This window comes from Homo sapiens, chromosome 3 (genome assembly GCF_000001405.40).
Source record: "Homo sapiens chromosome 3, GRCh38.p14 Primary Assembly".
NCBI lineage: Eukaryota > Metazoa > Chordata > Mammalia > Primates > Hominidae > Homo > Homo sapiens.
In genome coordinates this window covers 47599516-47616053 of record NC_000003.12, presented here as the reverse complement: position 1 = coordinate 47616053, position 16538 = coordinate 47599516, and the positions used below count along the sequence as shown (strand labels likewise).

At 42.1% G+C, this 16538-nt stretch overlaps 1 protein-coding gene and 1 long non-coding RNA gene across 2 annotated transcripts in view; one reads left to right on the top strand and one right to left on the bottom strand.

Annotated features, from left to right (window-relative positions):
* SMARCC1 (SWI/SNF related BAF chromatin remodeling complex subunit C1) overlaps positions 1–16538 on the top strand; it is a 196625-nt gene that overhangs the window by 165840 nt on the left and 14247 nt on the right. The window contains exon 26 of the mRNA NM_003074.4: positions 5727–5988. Within this exon, the coding sequence (NP_003065.3) occupies positions 5727–5988 (262 nt within the window). The remainder of the gene's footprint in view (positions 1–5726; positions 5989–16538) is intronic.
* On the bottom strand, positions 1679–15831 carry LOC124906234 (uncharacterized). The gene is made up of 3 exons (XR_007095902.1): positions 15771–15831; positions 12121–12185; positions 1679–1754 (listed from the first exon to the last, which is right to left on the bottom strand). It is a non-coding gene; the product is annotated as an uncharacterized LOC124906234 (long non-coding RNA).

Below are 16538 nucleotides of genomic sequence, written 5' to 3'. Positions count from 1 at the left end.
CTTTTGGACTAAATGTTGTCTGTCTCTCTGAAGTTCATTTGGCTAGGTATAGAAATTTTATACCTTCAGAGGCTGGGTGCTGTGGCTCACGCCTGTAATCCCAGCACTTTGGGAGGATGAGGCAGGTGGATCACCTGATGTCAGGAGTTCGAGACCAGCCTGGCCAACATTGTGAAACCCCGTCTCTACTAAAAATACAAAAATTAGGCGGGCGTGGTGGTGGGCACCTGTAATTCCAGCTATTCAGGAGGCTGAAGCAGGAGAATCACTTGAACCCAGGAGGCAGAGGTTGCAGTGAGCCGTGATGGCGCCATTGCACTCTAGGCTGGGCAATAAGAGCAAAACTCTGTCTTAAAAAAAGAAAAGAAAAGAAAAGAAAGAAATTGTGTACCTTCAGAAAAGAGGGACTATTAGGGAACTCGGAACTGTGAGAAACCCAGACCCTGTACTTAAGGAAGTTAAAGGATGGATGAGACATTGACTCAAAGAAACCAAATACTATGAGATGATGGGGCTATGAAAATTCAGAGAAAGGGGAGGTCATGGTCAGCTCAGATTATCAAGGTAAGATTCCTGGAGGAGGAGGATTGATAATGATTTGTAAGAAAGGCCCAGCTCTTGAAATATGAAAAGAATGATTGCTTAGGAGACTGGAGGGTCAGCCTGCCTTGATAGTTTTTGTGGTAGATAAAATGATTTATTTGTTCATTTGCCAAATACTCACTGAGCATCTGCTGTCCTCCAGGCATACAGCTACTGAGGATACAGTGGTAGATAAAACCCAACAAAGATCTCTGCCTTGGTGGATTTCAAATAATTAGAAACCATGAGTGAATTAAGGAAGTTTTATAAGTAATAAGGTATTATATGCTGCATATATATAGGTATACATACAAGCTTTGTGTGTATGTTATGGGCTGAGTCGGGGGGATTAGGAGTGGCAGGGAAGGGATTTCTGTTTTGAGTGGTGTCATCAGATTAGGCCTTATTGAGAAACTTGACAGTTGATGGGCAAGCACTTCTAGGTGCTGGAAACAGCCAGTGCAGAGGCCCTGAGGCAGGAGTATGACTGACATGTTCAGAGACAAGGGAGTAGGTGGGTGGGCTGGAGCATAAATGAGTCAAGGGAGTTAGGAGCATAAAGTCAAAGAGATCATGGTGACCAAATCACAGAAATTCTTGAAAGCAGTCCAGAGGCCTTTTTGCTTTACTCTGAAATGTGAAATAATTGCGGGACCTTGAGTTGAGGACTGAAGTGATCTTCCTTACAGTTTATCAGGGATCACTCTGTCTACTGTGTTAGAGAGAGTAAATTATAAGGCAGCAAGGTCAGAATCAGGGAGACTTGGTGTGGAGGCTGTTAGGTTAATGCACGTGAGATATGGTGGCTTGGACCAGGGTGTCAGCCGTGGAAGTGAAGAGAAATGGTGAAGTTCTGGGTGGAATTTCAAGATAGAGATAATGGGCTATCCTCACAAATAGTAAGTTTAGAAAAATTTGTTATATTTTATGACAAACTGAGGAAGAAAGAACAGCAAAAAAGAATTTCATAGTGTCCCAGAGTAATTATATTTAACTTTGTTTTCTGTGTAGTTGTAGTAATTCATCTTCTGTGCTGCCTGTCATACAATTGAATCTATTGTTCAACATTTGCTATTACATTAAAGGTAGTTTTATTTGAGATTAGAAAGCCATACCCAGTAGCAGGTTCAGTTCTGAAGCAGAAAGACTTGTGGCCTCAAGAAGCAAGCACACTGCAACAAAGATAAAATGACAAGTCACAATAATGATGCAGGCTCCCTTTTTGGATTTCTGCTACCAGAAGTACACATGGAAGTAGCAAAATGCAATTATATTGTTTTCTTTTACCTCAGGTATAAAAAGGGATGGATATGTCTGTTTTGGATTTGGGGTTTTTTCAGTGAATTTCTCATCACTGATACAAAGCATTGAAAAGGAAGGTGTGATTATTTACTTTAGCTCTGAGGCTTCAAGTCTCAGCTGATATTTCAGTCCTTGGCATTGCAGATAGATTTTTGTGGCCCTCACTGTCTTTTACTCTTTCCCACCCCCCTCCCTGCTTTATGCAAATAGAAGGGAGAAGAGCTTTGTGTGAACTTCAGCTGCACTTGCAGCTGTGTCTGCGTTTGGTGTCTTGGTGTTGAAAAGTGCTCTGTTGTGTTAGATTTCGCTTGGATACGGCTGCTTTATACATACACAGTGAAGAGGGAGAGGAAGGCAGGGTTTTTGAAAGCAGGGGAAGTGGGGGCTCAGGATGTGTCTTCAGAGCAGGGCCATAGGCAGCCTTGTATGAAAAACTGGGTTCGCTGGAGCCTATTTTTTTGTTATTAAACATATGTGTGTGATATTTTAAATTTTCAAATCATAAATAAAAAGTTCTGGCCAGGAGCAGTGGCTCATGCCTGTGCACTTTAGGAGGCTGAGGCGGGCGGATCACCTGAGGTCAGGAGTTCAAGACCAGTCTGGCCAACATGGTGAAACCCCATCTCTACTAAAAATACAAAAATTAGCTGGGCGTGGTAGTGGGCACCTGTAATCCCAGCTACTTGGGAGGCTGAGGGAGGAGAATTGCTTGAACCCGGAAGGCGACCACTGCACTCTAGCCTGGGCGACAGAGCAAGACTCCGTCTCAAAAAAAAAAAAAAAAGAGAAAAGTTCTCCTACTTCCAGTTTCATTTCTATGGATGATCACTGTTAATAGTTTGTATCTTTCAGAACATTTTAAATGTGTTTATACATGATCACAAAGTCATTTTTATATACTTGGATTATCTTATAAATATTTTTATTGCAACTTGTTTTTTCCCCCATTCAGGTTATCTTATGTAACTGAACATCAAAAAGAATGCCTTGATGACCATCCTTACACATGCATACATACAGTATTCTAGGACAGATTTCCAGATGCCTAATCACTGGGTCATTGGTTAAGTGCATTTAAAATATGACCAGTACTGGCAATTTTCTCTCAGAAATTCCTAGTTAACATTCTTTCTGATTGCCACAAAAGTGAATGCAGTCTTCAACTTGATTTAATAAAAATAAGGTATCTAGAACAAGAAAAGTTATTTTATTTGCATGACGAGGCCAGTACATGGTGGCAAGCTCTGCTGCATCTGCCGCAGAACAGAGATGGCCCTTATGGAGCCAACTGGTAGCCTGTTATTTGGGCATTGCTCTCAACTCATAGGACATGTTTGGCCCCACATTGGAACTTTTGGTTTAAACTGGGTTCTCTTTCAGGTTTATGTATGTGTTTAATCACTTATCCTTTCTAATTCTTCTAATTACTTTTTTTAAATTACCTTCTAAGTTTTAAAATGACAGATGAAACTCAGAAAATAAAGAGGATAATACAGGCTAGCTCATGTTGTAGGCAAGGAAAATTGGGCAAATTTTTCTTCCCAGCTTGGCCCTCTCATCCTCTTATTAGTAGATTCTTTTTTTCTTTCCAAGGTTAATACCTTGATACTAAGGTAAGCCCTCAAAGAAAGGCTAGTTTGGTTAAAAGCAGAACCCAAAATTCAGCTAGGTAATGCAGAGACCAGAATTTCCTTTTAGAGTCACTGCTCCCTCCAGTAGCAGTTCAGCTTCCTTATAAAGCATATCTTGACCTAAATTCCATAGTTCTTACATAACAGTAGGACTACAGCCAAGCTGTTCAGACCAGTAGTCACTCAACAAAAACAGATAAGAGGATGTTTTCTGGCCACCTCTTAAGCAAATTCAGAGTCCTAAATTCCTAGAAAGAATGATTAGAAGAAAGCAAAACCAAGGATCTGTAGCCAGAATATTTAGATTTCCCACCCCACCTTTTACAGTCATTTTGCCTCTTACTTACTAATCTGATTAGTCTTCCTGCAGAACTGGACTTCCAGAAGATTCTCTTGCTGTTTACATATTACATCTCCCTTCTCATCATGCACACAGGAAACTGAACCAGGCTAGGCTTTACCCTCTTCAGATTACCTTTCCCAGAAAATGAAGAGCCCACACTAGACTATTAGGACCATGGTAGAACCCTGTCTTGCTTGTTCCTGGTAACCCTCAACCTCTCTCAAAATGTTTTGTTTCAGAAAATCTCCCTCTCCCTAAGGAAAGTCTACAAGCCAGTTACCAAAATCCAGGACATAAGCTATACCGTTTACTCTCTTTATTTGTTCTCCTCTTAGCCTGCTCATGCATCTTTTCTTCATACTGTGTTCATGGCCTGTCTTCCCACACCCCATCTGTCCATGGAAATACCCCAGTTGCTACTCCTATAACCAGTGATGCTTCTCACTCAATTTCACAGGGATTTTCCCCAGTCGGCCCTCTGCCAAAGGCCCAGATTTTTAGGCTAATTCTCATGCTTATTCCATCTAGTTTTTGCAAATAATAGTGTGTAGTGTTTATCCACAGAACTTGCTGCCCCCAAAAGCAAAAATGTTATACTTCCCTAACCTATTAAATGCCTCAGAATAGTGCTATTGGACAGAAATATGTGAGCCATATATATAACTAAAATTTTCTAGTAGCCAAATTAAAAACAGGTGAAATGATGTTTTACATAATCCAGTATATGTAAAACCTACATATATACATTGTTTCTATATGTAATTTATATGAACAATTTTTCATATTAAGTCTTCAAATTTTACTGTGCATCACCAACAGCACATCTCATTTCATGTTAGCCACACTTCAAGTGCTCAGTAGCTGTGTGTGGCTTCTAACTGCTGTATTGGACAACACAGCACTAGAAAATGATTCCCAGTGACTTAGATTTTTCTATCAAAATGATGGGATGGAGATGTTATTGAAAAGAAGTGGGTTTATTAACCCTCCTTATGCTTATGATTTTTATACTACTTTCAGAGATCTGGATTTTCATTTTCCTGCATGTTCAGGTTGATTTTCTTTATCATCCCTGAATTAAATTAATTTAGGATAGGCTTCATTCTCTGAACTAAACATATAATACTGTATTTCTCTTTATTCTCATTTGGGTGCCAGAAAGATTATCTTGAATATTGAAATGCTTGTAGTCGTTAAACTAAGATTCATGCAAATTTTTTTATAGGCAACTAAAATATTCCGTGAATGTGTCACCAAGTATAATTTTGGGTACTTGAAAGCTAAGATTTGCAGTGGCACTGCCAAAGTTCCACATAGAGAAATGCATATCTTTGCAGCTAAGGCCACGTCAACTCATGCAGAGTAATTTAACTCTGGTGTTATGTTCTAAAATAGACAGTAACCATGAGAGTATCACATCCAAAAGAGAGCACATAGGAAGGTTGGGTGAACTTGAAATGTTAACATCTGAGGAACTATTACAAGGACAAGAGAGGCTCGTTTTACCTGGGGAAGACTCAGACAGCCATAGAAAGTATTTTTAGATATCTAAAGGCCTGCCAAACATAGAGGGGATTACATGTGTCCAAGTGAGCCCAAAGAGCAGTAGCCCTACTGCGGGAAGATTGCAAGGAAAGACTTAGACTCAACATGGAGAAGACTTTGACCATGGTAACAGATGTCCAAATGGAAATATGCTACTCAAGAAATAATGCCTTTGTTCTCACTGTAGAAGGTGCAGGAAGTGAGGTGGTGATGTCAGTGTGATGGGATAGAGGTAATTCAGGCATTATGTAGTTGTCCTTTGTGTTATCCAATCCTGAAAGCCTCTTCTGGTGTCATTTCTCTTCCACTTCCTTTGCTTACAGCTAGAACAACAGAGGCAGCAGTTGCTTACTGAACGCCAAAACTTCCACATGGAACAGCTGAAGTATGCTGAATTACGAGCACGACAGCAAATGGAACAGCAGCAGCATGGCCAGAACCCTCAACAGGCACACCAGCACTCAGGAGGACCTGGCCTGGCCCCACTTGGAGCAGCAGGGCACCCTGGCATGATGCCTCATCAACAGCCCCCTCCCTACCCTCTGATGCACCACCAGATGCCACCACCTCATCCACCCCAGCCAGGTAAGAGGAAGGCCCTGCTCTTGGAAAAAGCTTATGGTCACTACAGAGGCACAGAGCATCATTGGGGCCAACCACACAGTTGGTGTTTTCTGATGAAGACTGCTCAAAATTTTCATTGTCATCTAGAAAATTGTAGGCATGTGAGATTTAGGGTTATCGCCACATGAAGCCTTCCATGTTCTTTTTCTCTTGGTATGATGCCTTTTTGTTGAGTAGGTCAGCCTCTGATTGGACAGTAATATCTCAGAGTTCATTCAGAATTTATCTTGGATTATTGATACCGTAAAAAAAATTATAGACATTTTCAAAGATAAATACACACAACACAGCAAACTCCCATGACCTGGTTTCAACAACCATCATCTTTCTGCCACTTTTACTTTTTGTTACGGAAATCTTCAAACACAGATAAAGTAGAGAGAATAGTATGATAATCCCCCATGTACCTATTGGACAGCTTCAAAATTATCAACATTTTAGAGTCTGTTTTTATCTTTTCCTCCTCACTTTGGGAAATGAGATAGACTTCAAATGTATCTCTAACCAGTGGGAGTCTTTTTTTTTTTTTTGAGACGGAGTCTCGCTCTGTCGCCCAGGCTGGAGTGCAGTGGCGCGATCTTGGCTCACTGCAAGCTCCGCCTCCTGGGTTCATGCCATTCTCCTGCCTCAGCCTCCCGAGTAGCTGGGACTACAGGCGCCCACCACCATGCCTGGCTAATTTTTTTGTATTTTTAGTAGAGACGGGGTTTCACCGTGTTCGCCAGGATGGTCTCGATCTCCTGACCTCGTGATCCGCCCACCTCAGCCTCCCAAAGTGCTGGGATTATAGGCGTGAGCCACTGCGCCTGGCCGGGAGTCTTATTCTTTACATAACTATCATCACCATCAAACAAAAGTAATCATAATTCCTAATATCATTTGTTAAATATCTTTTGAGTGCTTAGTTTGTTTGAATCAGTATTCAGTTAAGATTCACACATTTGTTGACATGTCTCTTAAAAATCTATGTAATAATTCACCTTCCCTTTTTTGTGCCATTTATGTGTTGAAGAAACCAGGGTTTTTCCACAATGTGGCTGTGCCTGATTGTACACCAGAGGTGCATAGTGTCATGTCATATGTCCTTCTAACCCCCCCACACAAACACACATTTCCTATAAACCAGAGGATTGCTCAGGTTCAAATTCACACTTTTTTTTTTTTTTTTTTTTTTTTTAAAGACACTGTCTCGCTCTGTTGTCTAGGCTGGAGTGCAGTGACATGATCATGGCTCACTGCAGCCTCAACCTCCCAGGCTCAATCAATCCTCCCATCTCAGCCTCCTGTGTAGCTGTGACTACAGGTGCATGCCACCACACCTGGCTAATTTTTGGTTTTGTTTTTATAAAGATAGGGTTTCGCCTTGTAGCCCAGGCTGATCTTGAACTTCTGGGCTCAAGCAATCCTTCCGCCTCGACCTTCCAAAGTGCTGGGATTACAGGCATGAGCTCTACCACACCCAGACAAGATTCACTTATGAGGTCAGGCATTCTTGTAGTGTCAGTTTTTCTTTTTGTGGTAATTAAGATTGATCAGTAGTTCTGGTGTTGTCAGTCGGATCATCCATTATAAAAATCCCCATTCGACTAAATTGTTTTAGAATTGAGCGTTCAGAATTGCTTCTTAAATTAGCTATTTTAGGCCGGGCGCAATGGTTCATGCCTGTAATTCCAGCACTTTGGGAGGCCGAGGCGGGCGGATCACCTGAGTCAGGAGTTCGAGACCAGCTTGGCCAAAATGGCAAAACCCTGTGTCTACTGAAAATACAAAAATTAGCCAGGTGTAATGGTGCACATCTGCAGTCCCATCTACTCAGGAGGCTGAGGCATGGGTATTGCTTGAACCTAGGAGGCGGAGGTTGCAGTGAGCCAAGATTGTGCCATTGCACTCCAGCCTGGGTGACAGAGCGAGACTGTGTCTCAGTTAGTTACCCTGAAAATCAGTTCTTATAGGAAAGCCTGGATAAATGCTTCATATTTTCCCTCTATTGGTTATCTGTATAATGAGTTGCTGCCCCTCAGTAACCAAAGGTGACCAGCAAAGGGTTTTTTTGTGTATATTTTTAATATTGTAAAATTATAAATTTTTTAATATTTTGTGTGTTTCAGTCTATCATAGATACTATTTGTGTTTCTTGTTGCTTCTTAAAAGAGGTTGGGTCTCACTGAGTTGCCCAGACTGGACCCAAATTCCTGGGCTCAAGCAATCCCCCTGCCTCAGCTTCTGAAGTAGCTGGATTATAGGCACGTTCCACTGTGCCTGGCTTTTTTTGATGCTAAAATTGTCCCATTTGTAGCTTGTGAGAACTGTTTCGAGTTGGCTATTGTTTACTAAATTTTAACTACTTTGGAAGTTGAACTCATAGTTCCTTCAAGCTTAACTGCCAGCATCATTAAAACCTAAGATGTACTTTTAATTCCAGTTCACCCCCCAAACCCCACATTCCTTCTCTTCTTAGAGGGCAATATATATGGGTGTGTGCTGTGTTTTATGTTAGTCTAGTGAAAGTCATCTTGTAAGATTTTTATAGTTTGCTTATCCACAGTAATATACCAAGTGCTTAGAGCCAAAGTTTGTGCTTTTGGGGATGGGATGCAAATTCTCTGTCCAAGTCACGGTATTATCAACACACTTATTCACAACCCAAAATATATTTTAGGCTGTAGTTTTAGTAGTTTTTATTGACTTTACCGAAAAACAGGGCTAAGTTTACTTTGGGAAGCTTTCGTTTACACACACTCACAGGATTAATTTGCAATCATAAGAATTACTACCATCGTCAGACTTGCCACTCTAAATGACATTTGTGGAGATAGCCTTAGAAGTTTACCCTGCTCACAACAAGGTGCATTCTTTCTCAGTCTTATTTCTGTCTACTTGAGTGGATCTTAAATTCTTTGTATGGAATCAGATTTTCTCCAGAGTTAAGCTTTCAAAAGATACAAATGCTTAAGAGTTCACATCTCAAAGTAATTTTTCAAGAACAATAGTTATTTAAAAATTAAATTCCTAGGCCAGGCTTGGTGGCTCACACCATTAATCCCAGCACTTTGCGAGGCCAAGACTTGAGGATCGCTTGAACCCAGGAGTTTGAGACCAGCCTGGGCAATATAGAGAGAAGCTGTCTCTACCAAAAAAAAAAAAAAAAAGTAGCCAGGTGTGGTGGTACTGCATACCTGTAGTCCTAGCTACTCAGGAGGCTGAGGCTGGAGGATCACTTGAGCCCAGGAGTTTGAGATTGCAAGTGAGCTGTGATTGTGACACTGCACCGTTACACTCCAGCCTGGGCAACAGAGTGAGACCCTGTCTCTGAAAAATAAATAAATAAATAAAAATTCAGTTTCTGAAATACTGGGATAAACTTTTAAGAGGAAGTTTACTGTAGCTACTTGGTATTTGGCTCTTGATGGTGCTAAAGCATCATATTCACATTAACTGCTCACAGAACATCTAAGGAGTGCTAGCATCTGCATTTACTTTGTAAAAGATGGGCAGAGAGGTGCGTCTACTTTCTTCCCTAAATGAGATTTTGATGATAATGGGTGTTTGTATGCCATGCCCCTCACCCACATTGTTTCACTTATTTCTCATTCTCACCTTACAGTTGAAGAACTGATGCATGGCAAGGCCGCATAGCTTTGCTGCATGGTAGAGCCAGGATTCACACTGAGCTCCATCTGATTCCAAAGTGAGGCCAGTGCCACAGTGCTGCCTCCCGTGACGGAAGACTAAGGGGATTTATAGCAGATTCAGATACAGCTATTCTAGTGAAGCAGTTCCGCAAACTAGAGTTCATAAAAATAGTCTTTGGAAGAGAAATAGGTCATTTTAATCTTTTTACTTTCTCACAAAAATAGGCTTTTCTAAAGTGAATTTGTAAAGGAAAGAATTATTGAGTGCAGTGCATGATGAGAGGTTTTTTTTTTATTTTTAGTCTATGACAAGATAGTCTCATGATTTTTTATTGAAATAAAATGTACATTTTGGATAATGCACAATCATAAATATTCAGCTGAGTTTTTTTTTTTTTTACTTCCTTTATACTTGCAGAATTGATGAGTTTTAACAGAGAATATTCATGTGTAACCAACACACAGAGGCCCTCATCATACTGAGTCACCTTCCCTTCCAAGGATAACAACTGTCCTGACTTCTAGCGCCGTAGACTAGTTGGGCTGGTTGAATGTTATCTAAATGTAACCACAATTACATTTATTATGTCTGGCTGCTTTCCTTGTTTTGTTTTGTTTGAGACAGACAGGGCCTTACTCTGTCACCCAGGCTAGAGTGCAGTGACATTATCAGGGCTCACTGCAGCCTCAACCTGCCAGGCTCAAGCCATCCTCCCACCTCAGCCTCTTGAGTAGCTGGGACCACAAGTGCACACCACGACACCCCACTGCCTTTTAAATTTTTTTGTAGAGACATGGGCTCACTATATTGCCCAGGCTGGTCTTGAACTCCTGGGCTTAAGTAGTCCTCCCGCCTCCGCCTCCCAAAGTGTTAGGATTACAAGCATGAGCCACCATGCCCGGCCACATCTGGCTTCTTCCACTCAACACTGTATATCTGAGATGTGTCCACATTATTGTTTGTGGTTGTACATTTGTTCCTTCTGTTTGCTATACAGTGTTCTGTGGCTGTACTATTTATTAGTCTGTTCTGTTGGACATTTGACTGATTTCTGGATTTTAGTTATTATGAATAGTTTGTGCTGTTGTGAAATACATGAGCACGTCTTTTGATAAGACATATATGTACATTTCTGTTGTATATATCCCTAAGGTGTAGAATTGAGTATTTATGAACCTAAGAGTGGATCATAGGATATGCATATGTTCAGATTAATAGATGCTGCCAAACTTTTTGCAAAGTGGTGGTGCCTGTTTACACTCTAGCAGTATGTGAGAGTTCCAGCAATTCAAGATAATAATTTTTCCAAATTACCCCTTTTGTTGGGTTGCTTTGGAGTTTGAATATAAAATCAAGTCTGTTAAAGAGTAAAATTAAAAGCAACAGCACATTAGGCTGGGCGCGGTGGCTTACGCCTGTAATCCCAACACTTTGGGAAGCCAAGGCAGGTGGACCACTTGAGGCCAGGAATTCAAGACCAGTGCCTGGCCAACATGGCAAAAGCCCATCTCTACTAAAAATAGGAAAATTAGCCGGGTATGGTGGCACACACCTGTAATTCCAGCTACTCAGGAGGCCGAGGCACGGGAATCGCTTGAACCCAGGAGGCAGAAGTTGCAGTGAGCCGAGGTCATGCCACTGCACTCCAGCCTGGGCAACAGAGTGAGAGACCCTATCTCAAAAAAAAAAAAAAAGAACAACAGTAAATTAAACCCACTATTTTAAAGTTACCAGTTCAGAAAAAGCTGGTTCTAGCACGTAGGTCTGATAGACCATATTCTAAAGGTCAGCTAAAAAGGACTTTCAAACCAGGGCAAGTAAGATTGTCCGTAGCATTTTGGGGCCAGAATGGCTTTAGTCTCTGAGTTGCCACAGGGTAAGGTAAGAACTATGAGCAGGTCCTTCCAACTCATGATTCCTAAGTTCCAGAAAAGTTAACAGGCCACAGCTTACATTGGGAGCTGAAGATTATCTGGGTCAGTTGGCTGTCTTTGGTATTTGGCTCGACTTTATGATATATGATGGGAATAATCAGCTTCTGAATGCCAGTAAGGTTGGGGAAGTGCTGAGAGGAGGGACTAGGCAGATTTATTACCAAGTGGTTAATTTTTCATCTCTCTGGCCTCTGTATAAGTATGCAGATAAGTTACATGTAATTCTTCTCTACAAAACTCTCCATCAGTTAGTGGTAGAGCCTGTTAAAGTAGCAGCTTGGTATTATGAATCTGCTAGGCTCTTAAACACTTACGGACTTCTAGGTATGAATGTAGCTGGTATAAGCTGGCACCTGTACATATTCCATTTAGTTTGTACCGATACCTCTGTAAGTTCTTCAGCCCCTCTGCCCTGTCCCCTACCTTTGATTCATCAAATGCTTATAATTTTTGTTTGGAGACTACTGCGTGCATGCCTCTATTGCTCTTCCTTGGCTCTTATTATTTGGTCCTACTCCTAACTCACCTGATAACTCCAACTTTTGGTAGATTTTGTTCCTGTCTCTTATAGTGTCCCAACTTGGTTTCTTCCTACCAAACAAAAAGACACGGGAAGTATCTGTAGTAGAATGTTTCTGGTATCCAGTTGGCAAATGGAAACTGAGGTTGGCCCCAACTGTTCTTAGACCACCTTTAGGTTTTGTTGATCTTAATGAAATACACAGCATTGCATTTCATTCCTTTTCATTTAAACTATAAAATTATATCAAATGATGCCTACATTAAGATTCTCCCTATAAGACTGCCATTCCAGATGGCAAAAGGTGAATAGTCATAATAGAAACCAATTCTTAAGCACATGTGTGGTATTCCCTTGACCACACCCTGGGCCATGGTATCTGTTAATATGAAAGCACATGGGGAACCACAGAGGAGAATGGCCTAGGTGGTGGCTGCTGTTTGCTGAGGTGTGCTGCTTACTCAAGCAGGAGGGCACCTCTGACTGCTTGGGATCTCCTTTTTTTTTTTTCTTTTTTTAGACAGAGTTTTGCTCTTGTCACTCAGGCTGGAGTGCAATTTTGTAGTCTTGGCTCACCTCAACCTCTACCTCCCAGGTTAAAGCAATTCTCCTGCCTCAGTCTCCCGAGTAGCTGGGATTACAGGCACCTGCCACCATGCCTAGCTAATTTTTTTATTTTTGGTAGAGACAGGGTTTCACCATGTTGGCCAGGCTGGTCTTGAGCTCCTGACCTCAGGTGATCCACCCGCCTCAGCCTCCCAAAGTGCTGGGATTACAGGTGTGAGCCACTGCACCCGGCGGGATCTCCTTTAAGTTGAGATGGTCAGGACTGTAGGAACTTCAGCACATGTTTAAAGGAAGATTACCTATCATTAAGTTAGAAGGAAATGACAGAAATCTAGTGTATAATTACAGTGGTAAGCTCTGCTCTCCATAGGCATGGATGTATTTTAGTAGAGACAAGGTCTCACTATGTTGCCCAGGTTGGTCTCAAACTCTTGAGCTCACGCGATCCTCTCGCCTTGGCCTCCCAAAGTGCTGGGACTATAGGATTGAGCCACTAGGCCCAGCCCGTCCTAGGCATTTGTAATAAATGAGGCACTCTTGAACATTCCTGCCTCATGGATCTTAAGTCAGCTGCCTGCACTGGGGAAGCCTTCGTGTGTACTCTATGTGTGAAAGCAGAAGGAAAGAACATGTTTGATTTAAATATTTTCATTGTTTCCTCATTATTAATAGTGGAAGAATTTTTGGAAGTGCCTTGAAAATCAGAATAGAATTGGTCTGATTTGATGAGAACTCAGACATAATACAATGGTATTCTAATGTTAAAACTAGAATGGGCTGGAAATGATGGCTTACGCCTGTAATCCCAGCACTTTGGGAGGCCAAGGCAGGCAGATTGCTTGAGCTCAGGAGTTCGAGACCAACCTGGGCAACATGGTGAAACCCTCTCTCTACAAAAATAAAAAAAATTTGCTTGGTGTGGTGGCGTGTGCCTGTGGTCCCAACTACTTGGGAGGCTGAGGCAGAAGGATCACTTGATCCCAGGAGGTCAAGGCTGCATTTAGCCAAGATTGTGCCACCGCACTCCAGCCTGGGCGATAGAGCAAGACCCTGTCTTTTAAAAAAACTGGAACTTTTTTTTGAGACAGGGTTTTGCTGTGTCGCCCAGCCTGGAGTACAGTGGTGCAGTCATGGCCCACTGCAGCCTCGAATTCCTGGGCTCAAGCAATCCTCTCACCTCAGCCACCTGAGTAGCTGGGACTTACAGGCATGTGCTACCACACCCAGCTACAGTTGGCTTTTTAAGCCCCTCACACCTACTTACACAACCCTACCTCATGAGAAATAAAGCTCAGGAAAGGATTACAACCAATCACCACTTTCTAACCCACCCCTGGACTCAACCCCACACCGAAAAAGAAAAGCAATAGCCTGGCCGGGCATGGTGGCTCATGCCTGTAATCCTAGCACTTTGGGAAGCCGAGGTGGGTGGATCACCTGAGGTCAGGAATTCAAGACCAGCCTGGGCAACATGGCAAAACCCCACCTCTACTAAAAGTACAAAAATTAGCCGGGTGTGGTGGCAGGCAACTGTAATCCTAGCTACTCAGGAGGCTGAGGCAGGAGAATCGCTTGAACCCAGGAGGCAGAGGTTGCAGTGAGCCGAGTTCACACCACTGCACCACTCCAGCCTGGGCGACAAGAGTGAGACTCCATCTCAAAAAAAAAAAAAAAGAAAAAAAAAGCCGTAGCCCATCACATCAGCCAAGATTTTATTATCTGCGGTGCCTTTGGTCCTACTTACATGCTACTTTCCGGAGTAGCCATGCTACTTTCCGGAGTAGCAGGTTACCCTCACAAAGAGAACAGTGAGGGCCCAGTCTTCAACAAAGAGAGTCTGTCACAGGCATCCCCAGGAAGCTGCTGTGGGGAAGGCACAGTCTCTGAGGAGCCTGGGCTTCCCCTCACTTGGCCCTGATTTTGTTATTTCCATTCTCCAGGAGACTCAGCCAGAGGATGTGCTATAGACAGTTAGAAATGGATTGATGAAATGTGCTCAAGACTGGAAATTCACAGGTTCCCTTTCCTAGATTCACTTTCTTTTCCTACCCTCCTTTCCCAACCCAAAGTATAAAATTAAGGTCCTTTACTAATATTCCATTAAGTGTCATGAGTGTAATGCTTTAGTAAAAGATACAATAAACCTGAGAGAGAATGAGGGATTTTTCTACTAGTTAAACCTAATTTTAGCAAAGCTTTTAATTTTTCAGGCTTCAGATGCCTGCTGTTTAAAAAAAAAAAAGAAAAAAGAAAAGAAAAAAAGCTTGTATGTAGGTCAGACTCCCACCATTCTAAGCTTTTGATACTGCTGTTTTGATGCCATGTCTCTCTCTCTCTCTCTCTCTCTCTCTCTCTCTCTCTCTCTCTCTCTCTCATTTTCTTCCTCTCCCTGTCTGCTGGGAAAAAATACCTGATTTTTTTTTTTTAATGGAAAAGACATACATCCTTTACTTTGTTTGCTAAGGCCTGTTCCTATGCATTTCAGATTTGTGTGGGCCAGATCTCTTAATGTTAGTAAGAATTAATGGAAATGCAGACACTGTTGTTCATTTAAAAGTGGTGAGACCTATATCAGACACCACAAAAACCCATAAAGATGTTTAGACTTCTTAAGGACAAGGGTTGCTTTGTGCGAAATTGATTTTGTCTTCTCCTGAGTCTTCTTAAATTCTACCCCATTTCAGATTTCATCCTTGGAAGTTACCTTTTCTAAGGGGAAAGTTACTCCTTAGAAAGGAAGGTGGGGTAAAGGAAAAGAGAATGGACCTCAGGGTCAGAGAGACCTGGATTTGAATCTCAGCTCAGTCTCTTGTTCATTGTGACTTTGCGCCAAATTACATAGCTTCTCTGAGGCTTAGTTTCCTTATCTCAAAACTAGGCCCTTACCATCATCTTACTAACAACCTGGAGACTTCAGAGAGATAACTGTCAAATCACCTGGCACGGTCAACCCTTACTCAACCTTATTCTTACCTCCTTTCCTGTCTTTTCTCTAAACCCACTGCCCCAGGTACACCAGTGCTGAGTTGCTTAGCATCTGACAGAAGGAACCTCTGAATGGCAAAGGGACATCATTCACTCTTAGGTACCTCTTGCTTTCCTGAGAGATGTTTGTTTTTGCAGGGTGCCATAAGCAGAAGTAAATTGCTTTTCCTCTAGACCTTCATTTTTGCTGCCAAGGAGCCGTTGTCCTCTCATACTCAGAACACCTGTATCCCAGTGGCTTTATGACCTTGTTTGTGACAATAGGATAAAGAATCTTTTTCACAAGGCTTTAGAATTTATAATAAATGAAAAGAAAGGTTTTTTTAGCTGTTGGGCTAACAGCCTTGGAAAACCCTAAAGCTGCCCTATTCCAGCTTGTATTCATAAAGATGTAGGGTAATAGGTAAATGGGCCACTGCCACTGAGCAGATAGCTTTGGAAATAGTACTACTGGGCCTAAGAGCAAGAGCCTGCAGGCATTTCCCAGTGCATGATAGGTAGACATCACTTTGTGGGTGTTTGTCAATCAGCCAGTGATGCTCCTCTTTGCCAGATTATTTCTTGAATAGTTGATTTCTCTGCTGGAACATATATTCTGAATTGCGGGTTCAGAAAGTAATTTCTGTCTGGAGCTGAGCATGGGGCAAATAATGGATCAATCAGTTTGGTGACACCAGGGTTTGCATCACGTCGTCTCTGAGCACCTGTTGGACCCCTCTCCCCCAGACCTTGATTGTCAGGGGTGCACACTGGCTGCAAGCACCATCTCTAGAATCAGAGTACCTGTATCAGATCTGAGCTCCCTCATTTACATGCTTTATGACATTGGGCAAGCTACTTAATCTTTGTGTCCTTCCCTTTCTTCCACAGGG